The sequence below is a fragment of the Homo sapiens genome, chromosome 4 (genome assembly GCF_000001405.40).
Source record: "Homo sapiens chromosome 4, GRCh38.p14 Primary Assembly".
Classification (NCBI taxonomy): Eukaryota; Metazoa; Chordata; class Mammalia; order Primates; family Hominidae; genus Homo; species Homo sapiens.
In genome coordinates, this window is record NC_000004.12 from 40,996,605 (window position 1) to 41,017,647 (window position 21,043).

Genomic DNA, 21,043 nt, shown 5'->3' on the forward strand with positions numbered 1-21,043 from the left:
TTAGCTCCTCCTCCCATCTCTACTATTTCTGAAAACTAACATTTTCTTAGTCTTCAACTTGAAAATCTGACATATTTGATTCTACTCACTCCCTCTCCACCCACATCCAATCAATCACTAAATTCTAGAGATTCATCCTTTCCTCTACTTCCACTCTATTTTTAAAACTACTAATCTTGTCCAGTCCTCATAATCTAAACAAATTACTGTAAAACTCTCATAATCACCTGCCTCCTTTTGAAACTGACCCAATTGTCCCACAGTGCTGATATTTATGGTTTCTTTGAATAAACATAGAAATTGATCCTCCCAGTCTTAAAACTTGAAAAAGTTACTTTTGTCTTAGCTGAGTTCCTTTTTCAGGAACTCAACCATCAAGCCTCCCAGATAGCATGAAGGAGCTGAAACTTACATGACCGCTGCATATGGACAATGAGATGCCAGACCCCTCACCCTCACCTATCATGATTGCCTATCCAACCACCTGCTTCCTGTTGACCAGCTCCTCTTCCTTACACCTCCCTAATTCCTGTTTTCCCACATGTGGTTACATTTCTTCCCTACTATATAAACCCCTAAGTTTAGTGTGTCGGGGAGATGCATTTGAGACTGATTTCCCATCTCCTCAGCTGCAGCACCCGATTAAAGCCTTCTTACTTGGCAATACTCATCTCATTAAATGGCTTTCTGTGCGTCAAGCAGCAGGTCCTAGACCAAACCTCTGGTGTTTCAGCAACATTAACACTTTACCCCACAAACATATTCTAGCCACCAATATCAGATATACTTTCTTTAAACTCTACCTTACAAAGGGCATTCCTTTTCTCATAAGCATCACTCATGTTTCATTAACAAAAGCAAGGTCAGTTAAGTACATTAGCACATTCTCTGGCCTCTACCTACCTATTTGACTTTCTCTCTCACAGTTATCATTCTTCAAAGACTCTTCTTTCCAACCAAATTGCTAAGAGCACTGATCCTCATACCTAGAGCAGAAGTTCCCAAAGGGAACTTCGAGGAGTCTCAGAGATTGAAGCTATTTTCATAACACTCAGATGTTATTTACAACCCTTTTCACTGTGTTGACATTTAAGTGATAGGGCACAAAAAATAAATGATAACATTGCTGGCATCTCAGCATGAAGCAAGACAGTAGCATAAGCTATATTAGTGGTTATTGTGTTCCCCAATGTAATAACGTCCTTGAAGCGGTAAAAATTATTAATTTTATTAAATCTCAACCCCAAAGTATTATGTTTTTAATGAAGGTACACATAAAGTGCTTCCATGGCATACTGAAGTAGGGCTGTCATTTCAAGGAAAAGTACACGTGATTGAGTTGCAAGTTGAACTAGCTGCTTCTCCACACAATACCTCATTTACGTGAAAGAACAACTGACAGACAAACTATGGTTATTCAAATTTGGGTATTGGGTAGACATTTTCACAAAAATAAATGAGGTGGACCTGTCACTTCAAGGAAAACAACTGACACTATTTGTTGGCAATGATCAAATGCAAGCTTTTAAGCAAAAATCAGAATTTTGGAAAACTTGTATCTATCACAGTGAGCTTGACAGCTTCCCAATAATGGAAGACTTTTCTAATGAGATGGTTAAGATTCACAGATGTAATATTTTCATATTGCATAATGAAATGTTTCAACATTTGGAAGATCTTCATAACTCACTGAACCAATATGTTCCAAATAACCAACGCATGATGTTATAAAATTATGTATGGATAAATATCCACTCAAAATGTATGACAGACCAATAGATTTTAATATAAGAGTGCAAACAAGCTTATTATTATCATTTCAGATTCCACATTAAAACTAATCTTTAAGAAATTAGAAATTATGGAATTTTGGTGTAACATCAAAAAAGAATATCCACAATTGCCTGAACAACTATTAAAATAGTCGTCCCTTTTTAACCTATGTATCTGTATTAGGCCAGCAGGGTTTTCTTTACCTACTTCAACCAAAACCAAATTTACTGAGATACACTAAGGATAAAGGCAGATAAGCAAATTCAGCTGCCTTTGATGAAGCCGTACATTAAAGAGATTTTCAAATACATAAAACAACATCACTTTACAGCTTTTCTTTGGCATATCTAAATTGCCAGCGTCACTCCTCTTGTGCTTTGGGTCATTATTAAGTAAAATAAGGGTGACTTGAGCACAAGCACTGCAATGCTACAACAGCTGATCTGGAAACAGAGACAGACGGCTACTAAGCAACTCACAGGTCGGTTTCATAGGCAGGATGGGTGTGCAGGACAAAGCAATGACTCACATCCTGGGCGGGATGAAGCAGGATGGCACAAGATTTTATTGCGCTACCGAGAACGGTGTGCAGCTTAAAACTTATAGTTTATTTCTAGAATTTTCCATGGAATTTTTTCCAACCTCGGTGTATTGCAGGTAACTGAAGCCACAGAAAGTGAAACTGTGAACAAGGACTACTATATTTTGAGGTAATTATATTTATTCCACAATATTTATTGAACACCGGAATGTCTCAGGAGCCAGGTATCCTGAGATACAGTATCCTACTACTCTGCATCACACCTGTATCCCAGTACTCTGGGAGGCTGAGACAGGAGGATTGCTTGAGCTCAGGAGTTCGAAACCAGCCTGGGCAATATAGGGAGACCCTGTCTCTACAAATTAAAAATTAAAAAACAGCCAGGTCTGGTGGTATGTACCTGTGGTCCCAGCTACTCAGGAAATGAAGTGGGAGGACCATTTGAGCCCAGTAGGTTGAGGCTGCAGTGAGCTGTGACTGCACCACTGGACTCTAGCCTGGGCAAAGAGTGACAGACAACCTGTCTCAAAAGTAAATCAGTAAAAATAAGAAGAATGTCCTGGGCACTGTTTATTCTAGGCACTAAGGATATGGCAGGGAACAAAGATTGGATTCCTTCTTTCTGCAGCTTACAGTTCAGTTTCACCACTCAAGTGTCTAAGCAACAGGGGTATCAATATCACCTGAGAGTTTATTTAAAATGCAAATTTCTACAACTGAAAATTAGAATTTTTAAAATGCAGAATCTCAGGTCCCAACCCAGACCTACTGAATCAGTGTCTGCATTTCAGTAAGATCCCAAGGGCATACTCCTGCATAGTTTGAGAAGCAAAGGATTTATGCATCTCCCTAACTATTGTGAACTTCTTGGAGGTACGCTATTACCTTGAATTTGTTCTACCACTAGTATAAATAATTGTTTAATTGTCGTGCTAATCATTCAAACATAAATACCTATTGTAAGAACTTATTTCTGGGGCTTAACAAAAAAAAGGCAGGGAACAGTGGTTCACATCTATAATCCTAGCACTTTGAGAGGCCGTTGAGCCCAGGAGTTTGAGAACAGCCTGGACAACATGGTAAAACCCCGTATTTACAAAAAAAAAACAAACGTGTGTGTGTGTGTATGTATATGTATATATATGTGTGTATGTGTGTGTGTGTGTGTGTGTGTGTGTGTGTGTGTGTATAAATTAGCCAGGTGTGGTGGTGTGCACCCGTAGTCACAGTTACTCAGAAGGCTGAGGTAGGGGGATCACCTGAGTCCAGGGAGGCTGAGGCTGCAGTGAACCGTGATTACGCCACTGCACACCAGCCTGGGCAACAGAGTGAGACCCTGTCTCTAAATAAATAAATAAATAAATAAATATTTAAAAAGGGCAAAGTCAAACTGGCCTAGATCCTGGGAAACTTTCCTTCTCCTAGGAGAAATAAGGCAGTAATTCTAGTGACAGCTAACATTTCAAAAAATGCTTTCTGTGGTCCAGCTGTTGTACCAAGGGCTATATGTGACAATCTTATAAAGCAGATTACTACTATTACTATTCTCATTTTAGAGATTAAGGAACCTGGAGCTCACAGGTTAAGCAAGTGATGGAGCTAGAACAAGCAGGATGTCTGACCCTAAACCACAGAAAGTGGTAAATGTCATCAGAGTTGAATCTTGAAGAAGGAACCCATGAGTTCCCTGATGGAAATATTGTCCCTCAATTTTGAAATCGTCCAGAGCACTAAACTCAGTTCCTAGCATATAAGAGACATTCATGGACTGCAAGGAACTCTGTGAGTGGTTTAAGGTTAACATATCACATTCCAGATTATTACCAATCCAATAATCTTCCATTAAAGATATAATGAGCCTGAGATGAAACGGCTTCTCTCTGATGTGTTCTGCATAGAGTCCATTCTCTAACTTGGGGCCCTTGTTCCAAGCACACAAAGTTAAAAAAAAAAGGAGACAGAGAGAGAGATAGGACATCAACTAAAAGACGAAAGCCACTTTGAAATCCTGGAAGAGGCTGAGGCTTGTTCTGGAGAAAGGGAAGAGCACAGGCTGTGGAATAGCTTCTTTGTCCACAGAGAGCAAGGGATGAATGGAAACACTGGTCAGAGGTCCCCCACTGTAAAGCAAAGCAGGAACTGCAGAGCTAGTCCATTACTGAGAAGTATCCCTAGAGGCCTCCATCAGTTCTTGAACTTCCTTTGGTACACTTCCCATCAGCCCCTTCCCAATGGCATGGAGTTGGAGTCATCTCCATTCTCACTTTCTGACAATTCCACATGGAACTGGGACATTTTCCCCTACAACATTTTGGGGAAAGGTTCTATTAATAACACTCTTCATGTCTGTTAGAGATTAAATAGACTTTCATGGGCAAACCACCTTGTATACCTTAACCATCACATACACCATCATGTATATGAGAAAACATGTTCTGGTAATAAACAACACAACAAAACCAGCTTCTCCAACAAGCCATTTATAGGATAAAGATCTACCTTTATGATATCCCAGATATACCAATTCAGTGTAGTTCTATATGAAGAATTCTTCAAGTAACACGCAGGGAGAAAAATATCAACTAACAACATCTAATTATACTAAGGATGAATTTTTGTGAGGATGAAATCCAATTATATTCAAGAGTAAGTCTATGAAAAGCTCAAGAAAAAGACAGGCTGGGCGTGGTGGCTCACGCCTGTAATCCCAGCACTTTGGGAGGCCAAGGCAGGCGGATCACCTACGGTCGGGAGTTCAAGACCAGCCTGGCCAACCTGGTGAAACTCTGCCTCTACTAAAAATACAGAAATTAGCCGGGCATGGTGGTATGTGCCTGTAATTCCAGCTACTGGGGAGGCTGAGGCAGAAGAATCGCTTGAACCCGGGAGGCAGAGCTTGCAGTGAGCCGAAATCGCGCCACTGCACTCCAGCCTGGGTGACAGAGTGAGACTCCGCCTCAAAAAAAAAAAAAGAAAAAGAAAAAGAAAAAGACAAAAGCTTACACACAATAAGCATCAGCTCACCTCTTAGGTACCAACACCAATGGCTGGGGTCATCTCATTCTCTCACTTTCTGACCATTCCACATGGAATGCTAACCATATATGGTTTTCTAATAGTCAAATTATTTGATTTTTCCAGTCAAATCTGTTTGAATATGAAGCTTTTATCTCACTGTTTTGCACCCAAGGGTTCTAATGAGGAAACACAATAAATAAATTACAAGGGTAACTGGTAACTACCCCCACATTTATGAAAGCAAACTGGGCATATTAACTGAGTCAGACTTGAGCACAAAATTTATGAACCACCCACATCCTAGGTTTTGAAAAGCTAATGTTTTCCCTCTTCTTAACCAGATTAACAGATGGAAGACTCTGAGAAGTCATCTAGAGATGTCTTTAGAAATTTCAAGCACGTTTTGCTTAACAGTTCATGTCACACTTTGATTCTACCAGAAGGCAAGGGACTGAGACTAGGATGACTATGATTAAAAGAAGACTGTAGATCCAAGGATGCTGCTACTATGGCATCACACTTGTATGCAGCTGTAACAGGCAAGATCAACATTAGCCTGGTTCTTCTACCGTAACAGTTCCATGTGTATACAATGGCTAAGTCCATTGATAGTGGGAGCAGGGGGCTGCAAGCTCAATGCCTTGAGCTGGAGGGGACAGGACCCATCTAAAGGGGCTGCTGCTGACTGTTGTCTCTTTGGCATTTGAGCTCAGCATTGTGAGATTTCTGAATTTACAAGAGGAATGAGAGGTCCTCTATTTTTATGTAAAATATCTCAATTTCTAAGCACTGGCATCTAATTAAGCATTTTCTGTAACACTGTCCATGGAACAAAATCTGCCTGTGAGTTTGTGCGTTCTTCAGTATTGCTGTTTGTGATCTCTGATGCTTTATGGCATCATATTGCCTTTGTAGTGCCCTAAAGTCAGAGTCATATCCTTTTATTTTATATTCTGCATAGCTCCTTAATAAAATCCTATGTTTCCTAAGAAATAAATGTCTCTTGAACTAACATAAGAAAAACATGGCTATTACTGATAGTCTTGTCTGTCTGTTTCTAAGCTTTGATCAAAGGAATAAAGCCATTTCCATATGCCAGCACCCCTCAACTATGCCACCCTCCAGAACTGAGCCATACTACTAAATATTAAGCTTTGCCATGTCTTTATCATGTTTTTATCTTTTATTTTTATCATGTTTTTCTACCATTTCCACACTTATTCCCAATCTCAGTTGAGGTTGTAGTTTCGGATTCATCAGTCCACACCAAAATTTCCTCATCTTTACAATGAAGACTTTGAACAAAGGTAACCCCAAACTATCTAGAAGTCCCTTACAGTATATTCCACTCAAAGTCTCACAAGACCTGCAACTATGAGCTTTCCTTCCTGAAAATTTTGAATATAATTCTCGCAAACATTCTTTCACATCTCCTCCATGTTGCATCTATTAAGGAATTATCTGTAAGATGTCTGTACTGGGTTGAACCATATACCCACGAAAATTCATGTCCACCCAGAACCTCAGCATGTATCATCTTATTGGGAAACAGTCTTTGTAGATATAATTAATTAAATTGAGGTGAAGTCATACTAGGTTAGGGTAGGTCCCAAATCAAATGACTTGTGTCCCTATAAGAAGGCCATGTGAAAACAGAGGTACAGCTACAAGCCAAGGAATGTCACACATTTCTGGGAACCACCAGAAGCTTGGAAGAGGCAAGGAAGGATTCTACCCTAAAGCCTTCAAAGGGAGCGAGACCCTGATGACATTTCGATTTTGGATTTTTCTTTTGAGACAGAGTCTCGCTCTGTTGCTCAGGCTGGAGTGCAGTGGCATGATCCCGGCTCACTGCAACCTCCGTCTCCTGGGGTCAAGCAATTCTCCTGCCTCAGCCTCCTGAGTAGCTGGAATTACAGGCACCTGCCACCATGTCCAGCTAATTTTTGTATTTTTAGTAGAGACAGGGTTTCACCATGTTGGCCAGGCTGGTCTTGAACTCCTGACCTCAGGTGATCCGCCCACCTTGGCCTCCCAAAATGTTGGGATTACAGGTGTGAGCCACCACGCCCAGCCTGATTTTGGATTTCTAGCCTCCAGAATGATGGGTGAACAAATTTCTATTGTTTATTACTAATTTTTTTTTTTTAATTTTTATTTTCAGTAGACACAGGGTTTCACCATGTTGGCCAGACTGGTCTCGAACTCCTGACCTCAAATGGTCTACCCACCTCGGCCTCCCAAACTGCTGGGATTACAGGTGTGAGCCACTGCGCCCGGCCACAAATTTCTATTGTTTTAAGCCACCAAGTGTGTGATAATTTGTTACACCAGCCGTAAGAAACCAACAAAACATCTTAACATCTCCTCCTCTTCTTTGCTTAGGCTATCCAAGGTTTGGAGTGGGCTTTATCTTTTCTTACTTACTGAGGTATGATGGGCAAAATGGAGCAAAGAACACAAAGACACATTTTGTCAGGCACTCTGCGTATGGTGAGGGCTTCACAGAGACAGGAAACTTTATGTGAGCTATGTGACATCACAGACTGGTTTTAATCTATTTCTATGTCTCAGGCACCTAGCTCAGCACACAGAGTTGACTTTTAAAAATGACTGGCATGTGGCCGGGCACGATGGTTCACGCCTGTAATCCCAGCACTTTGGGCAAGGCGGGTGGATCATGAGGTCAGGAGATCGAGACCATCCTGCCTAACATGGTGAAACCCCATCTCCACTAAAAATACAAAAAAATTAGCTGGGCGTGGTGGCGGGTGTCTGTAGTCCTAGCTACTCGGGAGGCTGAGGCAGGAGAATGGCGTGAACCTGGGAGGCGGACCTTGCAGTGAGCTGAGATCGTGCCACTGCACTCCAGCCTGGGCGACACAGCGAGACCCCATCTCAAAAAAAAAAAAAAAAAAAAAAAGACTGGCATGTGTACATGTAACAAATGAAAGAATGAATGAACTAATGAACATCAACAAAGTCATGATGAACAAATTCACAAATTCTTGAACTATTGTTAACTTATATGACCAATACTGCTCAGTGAAAAATCATGGTAAAGTTACAGATGCATTTCAATTCCCCATGGATGTAGAGCTGTTCGAGTTTGCTATCTGAATATTTCTGTAGCCTCTTTTATTATTTATTAACTTAAGGGTTTTGTTTGTTTTGACATGGAGTCTCACTCTATTGCCCAGGCTGGAATGCAGTGGGCCAATCTCAGCTCACTGCAACCTCAGCCTCCCGGTTCAAGTGATTCTCCTGCCTCAGCCTCCCGAGTAGCTGGGACTACAGGCACGTGCCACCACGCCCAACTAATTTTGTATTTTTAGTAGAGACAGGGTTTCACCATGTTGGCCAGGATCGTCTCAATCTCTTGATCTCGTGATCTGCCTGCCTTGGTCTCCCAAAGTGCTGGCATTACAGGCATGAGCCACAGCGCCTGGCCAACTTAAGGGTTTTTTTTTTGTTTGCTTGTTTTTGTTTTTGGTGAAGAAAACTAATCTGGGCAAATAGCTCATGATGAAATTTGACCAGAAAATTTCTGAAAGTGTCCAGTAGTGTTTTTGTCTCTCTGATCCCACTGAGCCACTCCTTCACAATCTTGGGGGCTGCATGCCCACCTCCAAGGTATGAGAGCATCACCTGGCACTTCTGAGAAGCCTCACACAGGACTCCTAGAGGCCTACCTCCAGTTGCTTCCTAAGCTGCCACTGTCCACAGGACCCTCTCCCCAGAAGCTAAACAACTTGCCAAACTAAGAACTAAAATCTGTATTTTCAAAATATCCGTGAAGTAAAGAGAGAGAAAACAATCATAAACTTCTTTAGTGGTTAATTTTTGAAAAAGAAAGATTTTTTACTTTTCAACAGCTCTGAGGGACAATGCTCTCCCCAGATCTCCATCACTGAAAATCTATTCAATCTCCAGCACAGATAACTTCAAGTGCCCTAACATCCACATCCCAACTGACTGACGTTTCTTCCTTTTCTTAGCACTCAAGCCTCTCACAGGCCTCCCTTGATTCCACCTTGAATACATCTGCTGTCTTGTGCTCATTAACCATTGTTAGACTCTGGCTGCCACTCATCTCATTGTAATCACCTTTCCGTCCCCTGAAGTACCTCGTATGATACCTTATGATGGAAGGCAACCCAAAACTACTTTATTCACTGGAACATATATTTTTGCATAGAACTTTCCAAAAACACAAACTGAACAAACTCTTTTCTTTCTTAAGTTCAGGGGGGTAAAATAAAAAATACTTTTATGCATTTTACCCTTGAAGTGCTAAAATCTTACTCGGAAAACACACTATCTACCCCAGAACACAGCATGCCTAAACTATTTTGGAAACATCTCACATCTGCCTTCTTGAATTCTTCCTGTCGCATTATGGAACTCTCAACTGAGAAGACATAACAGGAAGGCTAGTGAGTCACCCAAGGTCCTTAAAAGATTAAAATTAATGCAGCAGGGCAAACCAGCTGAAGACTGGGCCTAGGGATTTATTTATTTATTTTTTATTTTTTTATTTTTTTTGAGATGGAGTCTCGCTGTGTTGTCCAGGCTGGAGTGTAATGGTGTGATCTCGGCTCACTGCAACCTCCACCTCCTGGGTTCAAGCGATTCTCTTGCCTCAGCCTCCCAAGTAAATGGGATTATAGGCACGTGTCACCACAGCCTGCTAATTGTTTTGTATTTTTAGTAGAAACGGGGTTTTGCCATGTTGGCCAGGGTGGTCTCAAACTCCTGAGCTCAGGTGATCCAACCTCCTCGGCCTCCGAAAGTGCTGGGATTACAGGTGTGAGCCACCGCGCCCAGCCATGGGCCTAGTATTTGTAAGAAAAAAGGGGGAAAAATATTTACAGTTAAAATTAACCAAAAGCCATCTGAGCTAAAATGAACAGTTAGAAGAGGTTTCTAAAAGTGTGAAAAATACAGACTTATCCAAAGCTCTATCACTTAAGCTAGCTAAAGCCAGAAATAAGAGGTGCTGCCAGTTGTGTTGACATAATTAGGTTTGTGACTCTCGCTCTCATCAACTATGCAAGAGTTCCACTTTGCCTCAAGACTGGAAACCAATCAATTTAAGACATCAAAGGATTCAAACTCTAAAGCAACACTGCTATAGTCTAAATGTGTCCCCCATATTTCATGTGTTGTTGGAAACTTAATCCCCAAATTTATGTGTTGATTGGAAGTGGGGCCTTTGGGAGGTAACTGCGATTAGATAAGGTCATCTGGGCAGGGCTCCCACAGTAAGACTGGTGTCTTTATGAGAAGAGGAAGAGAGACCTAAGCTGACATGCATTCTCTTTCCCTCTGGCCATGTGATATCCTCGCCATGTTATTCTGCAGCAAACGGCACTCACTAGATGCTGGTGTTATGCTCTTGGACTTCCCAGCCTCCAGAACTGTGACCTAAATATATTTCTGTTCATTATAAATTATCCAGTCTCAGGTATTTCGTTATAGCAACAGAAAACAATCTATGACAACCATGGATCAATCTCAATCCAAGGCAAAGCGTGAGGTCAACTGAAACCAAAATGGCCCTTTTCCTTGGCACTGGCCCTCCCAACATATAGACCTATAGACTCGAATAGAATAAAAGAATGTTTGTGGAAGACTGAATTAGTGGCCCCAATTCTTCATTCTTTCCAGGAGCCTAGAACATAAATAAGAATCACCCTATCTGAGTGTTCTAAACAACTATTTTATACAAATTGTTATTACTTTTTCTATTTCTACAAGCATATTGATGTAGCAAACATCAGAGAGCATGCATTAATGATCGTGAATCTATCCATCCAACCAGCAAATGAGTAACTTTATGGAGCCTTTTACTATGTGCCACATACCGTGTGAAGAAGTTCATATACACACATAATGAAGACGTGGCTGCTGCTTTCATGGAGCTCTAAGTCTAAATGGAAACTTTTGAGTAATGCCGAAAGCCACTAAGATAAACATGATAGCAGAAACTTAGAAACATTTCTTTGGGAATACAGAGAAAGGACTTTATAAGGACTTTATACAGCTCGGAGGGTCTAGAAAGGTTTCATAGTGGAAGTGGCATTTGATCTAAACCTCAGTTGCTTAGAGGAATGGAAAGATCCCCTAAAATATAATTTTCCACTTTCCGGATTCTCAAGATACTACTATATGCCTCCAGTTGAACCAGATGAAATCTGATATATTTAGCCTCTGTGGTAAAACACTGGAGCTGTGTCGGAAAACCTAGGTTCAAGTCTCAGCATGGCCACCTGAGAGTGAGAAAGTACCACCAACAGGGTTTGGCACATTGTAAACCCACAGAATCTCAGTGTGCCTTCCCCAGTAACTCGGGTTATTCAGCTTCACCTACTGTGAGGCAACAGGATCAATGAAGTTATAAAATATGTAGCCAATGCCAAAACCAGGCATTGATTAAGATATAACATCGAGTGTCTTATTCAACACATAAAGTTCATTTTGGGATATGCAGATGGCTCCCATTTTCATTCAGTGTGTCATTATTTATTTATTAAGCTCACTTGCCATATTCCAGGCACTGAAAATACAAAGATGAAGATGAACCAACCCTTGCTCTTAAGGTCCAGAAAGTCGTAACTCAGAGTCCAAAATATAGGTAATTCATAATTAAGAGAAAAGCAAACTTTTATAACACACCACTGTACTGATACTGTCTCTAATATAATAATCATGAATATTCATTGAGCTCTTGCTATATGCCAGATACTGCTCCTAAAAGCTCTTTGAAGATGCTCTCGCTTAATCTTCACAGCAGGTCTATGCCAAAACACTCTTATCCCCATTTTATAGATGAGAGGCTATGAGAACTGCCTAGATATAGCAGAGCTGGGATTTGAACTCAGGAAGCTCACTCTAGAGCCTATGCTCTTAATGATAAGTTAATGGATCATGAGGCGCATTGCCACACCCATCTAGACTTGGGACTTGGTTTTCTCTGTGTATAATTCTGCTTTTGTACACTTTAGCAATGAATCTGATTTTGAAACAGTTACTACACAAGATCCATCTAGTTTCATACTCTGTGTCTTCAATTTTATTAAATCCCAAACTAAACATAAAATTACATGTGGGTACCACTGAAACCTGTACCCAGGAAGGTTCAAAATGATGCATCTTTTCAACGTTTTCATAAAGCAAACATGAAACACTAAGTGATTAACAGAGAGACTATATACAGTGTGACCAACAGGTATTTATTTATCTGAGCCATCATGCTTACTACCTGGGGCCACTGAGGGAACTGTATCTTTGAAAAAAACCCTAACTAGATTCAAAGTTCTCACTTTGCAGTAGCAAGATACAACCTTTCTTTTAGAATCAGGGCCAAGGCACTCTTTAACTTTTCTAAACTCCTATGAAAATAGTCATTTCACAGATGCTTTTCCTTTTTCAAATAGCCTCTTGTTTTCTTAAAGGACAGACTACAGAGGAGGAAAAGGGCAGCCACATATTGTATACATGATTGATTGTACAAAAAGAAGTTACTAAACAGCTGGAGGGGGCGATTCAGTAGTAAAGGAAAATAGAAAGTAGTCAGTCTCTAGGTTAGCCATTGCATTTTATTGTATAAATAGCATTCTAACTTGGAAAGGATGCCCCTGAGGTAGAAATGAGTCTATTTTTCTAGGCTCCCCAAAGTGCAGTCTACGATCCAAAGATAATTGCATCATGATTTAGTCATAAAACACACACCACTGTGATGACTATGTATTTAACACACAGCAAGTCAACAGACAACTATACCCTTTTTATACATGTACTATGGCATGGCATACTAAGATGTCACAAGATATTTGCTCTCGTTTTCTCTTTTCTTTCAACTGTTGGTATTTGTGTTTATTTTATATATATACACATACACATGTATATACTATATAAAACATACATAATAAACACTAACTTTATCATTACAAGTGAAACATACAATGTTTAATTTAGACTGATCATGATTATTTTAAACACTAACAGTATGTTTCACAGGAAGGATGAAATCAAAAGAAATACAATGCTAAAAAACTGCTTATTTTATTTCATTCACCAATCTATGTATTACCTGAAACCTGAAGTGTGATTAAAGCAAAGTGATTTCATTTCATGGGGATCCACAGCAGACTCTGAGGCAATTCCAAAAGAGGACTCCCAAAATTATGACTATTAATATTGAGACAGTGCAACATGCTGAAGCAGGTGCAGAGATCCCAAGTGAACATTTTGAAGGCTGGCATAGGTTTGGCTTCTAGTATATTTTTTAAAAACACAATCTCATTGCTTTTCGGTCACAGCTAATACATTTTTTCGAGCATATTTGATTTGAAATACCTATCCTCAGCAACTTATCAAGGGCCACCATCATCCTGTCAAAACCAACTTTCAGAGAGAAAACTAAGCATATCTTCTTAACATGTAAAAAAAACTCTAATCCAGTTCTCATCACAGGCCAAGCACTGTAAGATGTTCTGTGGAAACCCAACAGCAAGTAATGTCAGGACACTGAGCAAATGAGTGGTAAGTGTCACAGCAGAGGGGCCCCTGAAAGTCTTCCTGGAAAGAGGGAGTTAACGTGTACATTTCAAGAGTCCCAGTAGGTAGACTGGAGTGCACAAACTTTGCCCTCTCCACAGGCCCCTACTGACACCAGCACTCAATAAGCCAAGGGGCTATGGACAGAAATACCTAAATACTCATCAGCAGGGAACTTGCTAAATAAATCGTGGAACTTGTATATAGTGGAATAGTATACATAATACTTAAAAAGACTGACGTAGAAAAATGGACTGATCTACAAAATACGTTCTTACGTGAAAAAAAGCAAAGCATTCATAAAACAATCTAATTGGAGTAACTTTTTCCTGGTTTTAACTATTTATTGTGGCAAATTTTAAACATACAAAATTAGAGAATAGAATAATGAACCCGCACGTACCCATAATGCAGCTTTAACAATCAGCAGCTTATGGGCAATTTTGTTTCTTTTTTTATCCTTCTAATCCCAATTATTTTGGAGAAAATACCATACACAATATTGTTTCCATCAGTATGTGTTATACTGTATTATATATGTTATACTATGACATAGATTAGTATTTTATATTAGTATATATCTCTAAAACATAGGGATTCTAAAAACATCATCACAACATTTGGGTAAATTTTAAAATTGATTATTATTGTTTTTTTTTTTAATTTTAATTTAATTTAATTTTATTTTTAAATTTCTTTTGAGATGGAGTCTCGCTCTGTTGCCCAGGCTGGAGTGCAGTGGCACAATCTCGGTTCACTGCAACCTCTGTCTCCCAGGTTCAAGCAATTCTTCTGCCTCAGCCTCCCGAGTAGCTGGGACTACAGGCACGCACCACCACACCAAGCTAATTTTTGTACTTTTAGTAGAGACAGGGTTTCACGATATTGGTCAGGCTGGCCTTGAACTCCTGACCTGGTGATCCACTGCGCCTGGCCTAATTTTTATTTTTTGAGATGGAGTCTCGCCTGTCACCCAGGCTAGAGTGCAGTGGCGGGATCTTGGCTCACTGCAACTTCCGCCTCATAGGTTCAAGCAATTCTTGTGCCTCAGCCTCCCAGGTAGCTGGGACTACAGCCACCCGCCACCATGCCTGGCTAATTTTTAATGTTTTAGTAGAGAAGGGGTTTCACCATGTTGCCCAGGCTGGTCTCAAATTCCTGAGCTCAGGCCATCTCTCCACCTTGGCCTTCCAAAGTGCTGGGATTACAGGCGTGAGCCATCATGCCGGTCTTAAAATTTATTATTAATATGCGGATCTATGACTCAAACATTTTCTGAGAGGAAATAAAAACATAAGGTAATGGTCATCACTGGGAAAGGGGGCTGGGGTGAAGGGAAGAGGCAGCTTAATTATTCATTTAAAAATACATTTATGTTTTTTGAAACAGAGTCTCGCTCGATCACCCAGGCTACAGGGCAATGGCATAATCATGGTTAACTGCAGCCTCGAACTCCTGGTGTCAAGTGATCCTCCTGCCTCAGCCTCCTGAGTAGCTGGAACTACAGGCACATGCCACCGTCCACCATGCCCAACTAATTTTTTTGGAGGAGGAGAGATGGGGTCTTACTGGTCTTGAACTTGTGGGCTCAGGTGATCCTCTTGCCTCAGCCTCCCAAAGTGCTGGGATTACAGGCATGAGCCACTGTGCCTGAACAAAACTTTAGGTTAGTTTAAAACTTAACTACAACAGAACCGGCTATACCAGGAAGAGCAGCAGAAAGGGTGCCATGACCAGAGGGAGACAGCAAGGTGTCAGTAAACGCCAAACACAGGAAGTAGAGCTTGGCTGAAAGATGTGCAAGGAGTCTTTCATGTATTAATAGATTCAAACTCCAGCAGGTGACAATGTCTATCAGCTTCAGGATATGAATTCTCTAAATGGGTAAAAAGGATAGAGAGCTGTGAACTCAGGGACATTACTGAACATAATTATGATTCCAATAATGTGCAGGGCCAGACAGTTATGAGATGAAATGGCCTCATCTCAACCTCCCTACTGCCACATTCCACAGTAGTATGCATCATTGAAAGTACTGGGATTTTTAAAGGGCACTTCAAAAACGCTACTTTTTTTTTCTTCTTAAACAAGTTAATGTCTTAACTCCTCTTTTCCTTATCTTTAGTCCTTGTAATTTATCTACCTTATCGATTGTAAAAATGTGATTTCCTTCCCTGGTGGTTCTATCTATTTTCTTTGTTATATCTATATTAACACAGCCCTGGGACCCACTAGGGGAACTGCTGGACTACTTTTAAAAAATTAGCCTTTCTGAGTGCTTGTTTACGCTGAATTCAGATACAATAAGGTTCTCCACATTTTTCAATCTTAGAATCAGTATAGTGGGAGCTATAAGAAAATGATATTTAAAGTAGCTGACTTTTAGGATCCTGTTCATTTCTGTCACCATTTTAACACCTCCGACAAATCCAAAATATTACAAATATAGACAAAAGTCCAGAAAGACTGGTCTCAATTAGACTAGTTAAAAGTCTAAACTTCTGAATATATTTTTCAAGAAATACGATTTTCCCACTTTTAAATATTACTTAAGGCTAATAAAACACTCCTCAGTAAATGTCAAAAAGAGAAATGCCTTTAATGAACAGATGGCTAATGTTTTAACTTTTTATGCGCTTCACCATAAATAAGTTATTTTGAGGACTTTAAAATAGTTCTCTTAATTGGGTTATATCCTTCCCCCAACAACTTTGTTTCTTTTATTATTTTGCTTACCAAAACCCAGTATTTCTAGATAGCATATAGAAATGATCTACCTATGCACTGGAAGTGTAATTTCTAAATATATGATATTTTACTGTACTTAACACCAAGGATCTGTTTATTTTACAAAAATGCTTCCCAGAACAAACAACTTTATGCACGATCCAAAATGAAACTGACCTAAAATATGGTTGAGGAATGCAGTAATATTTTGCAAATAAATTGCCCAATTTTACCGCAAGAGGCTCACGTTCCTCTCTGCATAATGGACATTTTTGGTCAGTCTAGAGATTTACTCCAATAGTTGAAAAGATAAAAAAAAAAAAGTGCCAGCTGAGGCTACGCCTTCCCCAGGGGTACCTGTTTCATCCGGGGAGCTGGGTGAGGCACTGTCTTGGGACAACGTTGTCCAGCTGGACTCCTCATCGCTCGGTGCCAGGTTCTGGATCCGGTGCAGTGCACAGTCGGTTTTGGCCCCTGTTTTCGGATGATCCTTCTTGGTTTCTGGGCTGGATGACACTGTGGCTACTTGGCCGTCTTCAGGGCTGGACTGGGGTCTGTTTGGTTTCTGCAGCAGCAAATCGCCATTCCCAATGATGGTGGAGGCCTGGCCCTGGACTGGCTGGGATTTCTCTTCCGCAGTCCCATGGTGATTGCCTCGGTTCTGCTCTAGTTCTCTGGCTGAGGTTTCCAGATCTGCATAGTAATTTAGGAAGCTCTTAGTTCTCCTGGGCTGGGAGGGTAAAATCTCACAGCTCGAGGAATCCTGTGGGTGGGGCTCTTTACCCTCTAACTTCTCAGAAGTTATGTTGATGACTGCAGTGGGGCTCAGGTTTTTGTTGGGGTCCTGCTGCCCTTGCTCTGCAGCCTTACGGAGCTGGTTCTCCCCATTTTTCACCAGCTTGATGTTGGCAGAGCCATTTCCCAGCAGGGGCTGTGCAGCTGGATCCGAGAGGCCCATGGCCGCCTGGATGTTAGTTAGTGCATATTTTTTCCTGCATTTGGGAGGTGTGCTGTTCTTGGTTTCTGTGTGTTTTATTTCAGCGTTCAACAGTTCATTGTGGGAGGATCGGAGGTTAAGGGTGTTTGGTGGTGTGGCTGGGCTGTTCCGATTTGTGACGTCTGTAGTTCCGCTGCTGGCCATAAACACTGCCAAGGTGTCAACACCTGAGTCAGCTGGGGAAAAAAAAAGTCATTAGACACCTGCCATGATTAAACTACTTAGTATACAGTGTGAGTAAATATTTTTATATAGAAAACTAAAAGAAGAAATGCTTCCACTGCACATACATTCTCATAGAATGGACCCATTTTCCTCTTTATTTCACCATTTGTTCCTATATTAAACAGGAGCAAATAAAGGGCTTAACGTGGATAACCAAAAGCCAATTTATAGAAAAGCTAAGAAGTCTGAGGACCTAAATTTTACTTAAAATAAAAAAGCATTTCTCTTTGAATTCACATAAAAGCATTTTCTTCTGGTGGCTGGTCTTCATTTTTTACAAGCTTGAAAAATCATCCCCTTTCCAAATATTCCCACTACATTTTTATTCTTTGGTTCCTTCAGGCAACAACAAAAAATTGCTCAAGATTCCTCTGGGGCTTCAGCTTTCTTAATTAACCTGAAAGGTCATTGTTCAATGATGCTCCATACATCCAAGGTAATTTTTCTCAACCACGTTTAGAAACTGTGTTCTGAATGCCTGGAAAACTAACCCTCCATTAGAGTTTGCTAATGTCTTGGTGAACATTTTTGACCTGGGCTTACTGTTTGTACTAAACTGAAATTTTGAAGAAATGGCTTAATTTCTGAAGAACACGTACACACGCACACAAAACTATTACTGTAGCATTGAGCCCTTGGCTACAGACAACATGTTAGAGCTCCCAGAGGAGTCTGAATATATTCCACTGAATTAAAATACAGACTCAGCTGTTTGCAGTCATCACATGCCTCTGCAGAACTCCTAGGAAACTATCTGGCAACCGCATTTATCTCAAATATTGTTTGCGCCGTTAGTGATTTATTCTATATGTCTCTCGCTGGGAAGAAAGAAAGGTTTCTTAGACTAGAAGGGAATAAAATTCATCAGCAAGAATTCCTAAGGTTTCAGATTTCTCAATCTATGAGGAGTGACTTCTTTCTTATCTGATCCTTTTGCCCTCCACAGAGACTTTGGTGATCTCTACCTCAGCAGCAGATGAACCAAAGCACAGCTCCTGAAATTCCTGAAATTATATTCTGACAATTCCCTCTTCCTCCCCCAGGCAAAACAGGGATCTTTGCAGGAGAGAAGGGCAATAATTTCCTTGTTTGGGAGCTTAGAGGTATCTCTCCATCACCAAATACTTAGGTTGGGCAATTTTAGAAAAAAGTTGCTCATTCTAGAGTCCCTATGCTTCCAGGAAGCAAGGCAACATCAATCCTCCACTCTAGGCCATGGCCATTTTTATAACAGTATGACCATGTGGCCCATAAGAGAGTCAAGGGCTGTAACCCCAAGGGTTAGGATCTTGGGCCCCATTCTTTAAAGTTATTATTTATCGGGATTCCTTCTCACCTAGCACCTCACCTTAGCTCTTAGGCCTCATTTTACAGAAACAGAGAATGTAGTGTGGTTTTTCCTTTTTCAAAATTTCCTTTTCCTCCACCCAGTCCAATGGAAGGTTTCTGCCTTTTAAACAATACTCTTGACAATTAAATTAAAAAAAAACAATTTTTATTACCATTTGGCTACAACTATTATACCATTTTATGGGAAACATGTTTCAATTTATAATTTAATTTCACTCAAGAGTGGCATTTCATATGAGAAGGGCCTACCTGAAACCTACATGAAGTTTTCCCTGAGACACATATCCAGAGCATAGATACATGAGAGAAAGTTATTTTTAGACTCTTGGGTATTTAGAGTGAGATTATGAGAAAGTGCAAATCTGCTGTTCCTAAAAGGCATGGCAAAACATTTATATTAGGCTGCTTTATGATGCTAGGTACTATTATACATTCTAGCAATGTTATTAGGGAGATATTTTTATTTGCTTTGTTTATAATCATACATATTTTCAGAAAGAATACCATCAGAATTTCTAGGTGATTTTTAATATATAAATAACTTTTATATCCTCAATATGACAGATTAAGACTTCTAGCCACAGCCGGGTGCGGTGGCTCACGCCTGTAATCCCAGCACTTTGGGAGGCTGAGGCGGGCAGATCACCTGAGGTCGGGAGTTTGAGACCAGCCTGACCAACATGGAGAAACCCTGTCTCTACTAAAAATACAAAATTAGCCAGGCATGGTGGCGCATGCCGGTACTCAGGAGGCTGAGGCAGGAGAATCGCTTGAACTCGGGAGGTAGAGGTTGCAGTGAGACGAGATCGCCCCATTGCACTCCAGCCTGGGCAACAAGAGCAAAACTCTGTCTCAAAAAACAAAAAAGAAAAAAAAAGACTTCTAGCCATATTTTCACAGTCTTTGGGATCCCATTACCCTATCAGGGGCCATGTAACTCTTCTGCTTGCTAGAAATAATGGAGGGCAGGCAGGAGGGGTAAGAGGCTGAATAGAAAAGGACCATCCAATACAAACTGGATGAAAAAATGCAGCTCTGTATATGCCATATTTATTAGTTTATTTACGTACTTATTACTTTTGAGACAGGGTTGGTTATTTATTTATCATTACTTTTGAGACAGGGTCTTGCTCTGTCACCCAGGCTGGAGTACAAGTGGCAGGAGCATGCCTCACTGCAGCCTCAACCTCCTAGGCTCAAGCGATCTTCCTACCTCAGCCTCCTAAGTAGCTGAGACCACAGGCGTATACACCACACCTGGCTAATTTTTTGACTTTTTGTAGAGGCAGGGGTCTCACTTTGTTGCCCAGGTTGGTCTCAAATTCCTGGGTTCAAGTAATCCTCCTACCTCAGCCTCCCAAAGTACTGGGATTACAGGCGTGAACCACCAGGCCCAGCCTGTATATGTTGTTTTTATATATCAAAGCCTGAACACAGTTTGAGTAATATCTTAGACATTAAATAATGGTATCATGTGGAGGCAAAAGAAAAAGTTCAATTCTAGAGCTACGGCAGCCAAGCTAATCCCATGAACTATAGAGTTCCTCTAGGAGTTACATATCAGCTAGGAAGTCCTTGGGCTCAAAAGGGTCATGAAGTAGCTACAGGTTAGCAAAATCCTAGAAAGATCAAGGCTACAAGAAAGCAGCCCCAAGGGAGAGGAAATGCTGTAAGGGTTAAAAGCACAGATCTCAGGGTCAAGGAGAGAAAGGCTCAAGACCTATCCAACCTACTTCCTGGTTAAAAATGGGGATAATAATAGTACTTGGTTTACATGACAAGTAAACTTGCCTACAGGGAGTTTATAACAATAAATGTGAGCTCCACTCACCACTTTGTACGAGTTTATA

At 40.6% G+C, this 21,043-nt stretch overlaps 1 protein-coding gene across 51 annotated transcripts in view; it reads right to left on the reverse strand.

Moving 5' to 3' along the window:
• APBB2 (amyloid beta precursor protein binding family B member 2) overlaps nt 1-21,043 on the reverse strand; it is a 404,516-nt gene that overhangs the window by 186,578 nt on the left and 196,895 nt on the right. For all 51 annotated transcript variants that reach the window (XM_047450191.1, XM_047450181.1, XM_047450169.1 and 48 more), the window contains one exon: nt 16,979-17,794. In XM_047450191.1, coding sequence (XP_047306147.1) covers nt 16,979-17,794 — 816 coding nt within the window. The remainder of the gene's footprint in view (nt 1-16,978; nt 17,795-21,043) is intronic.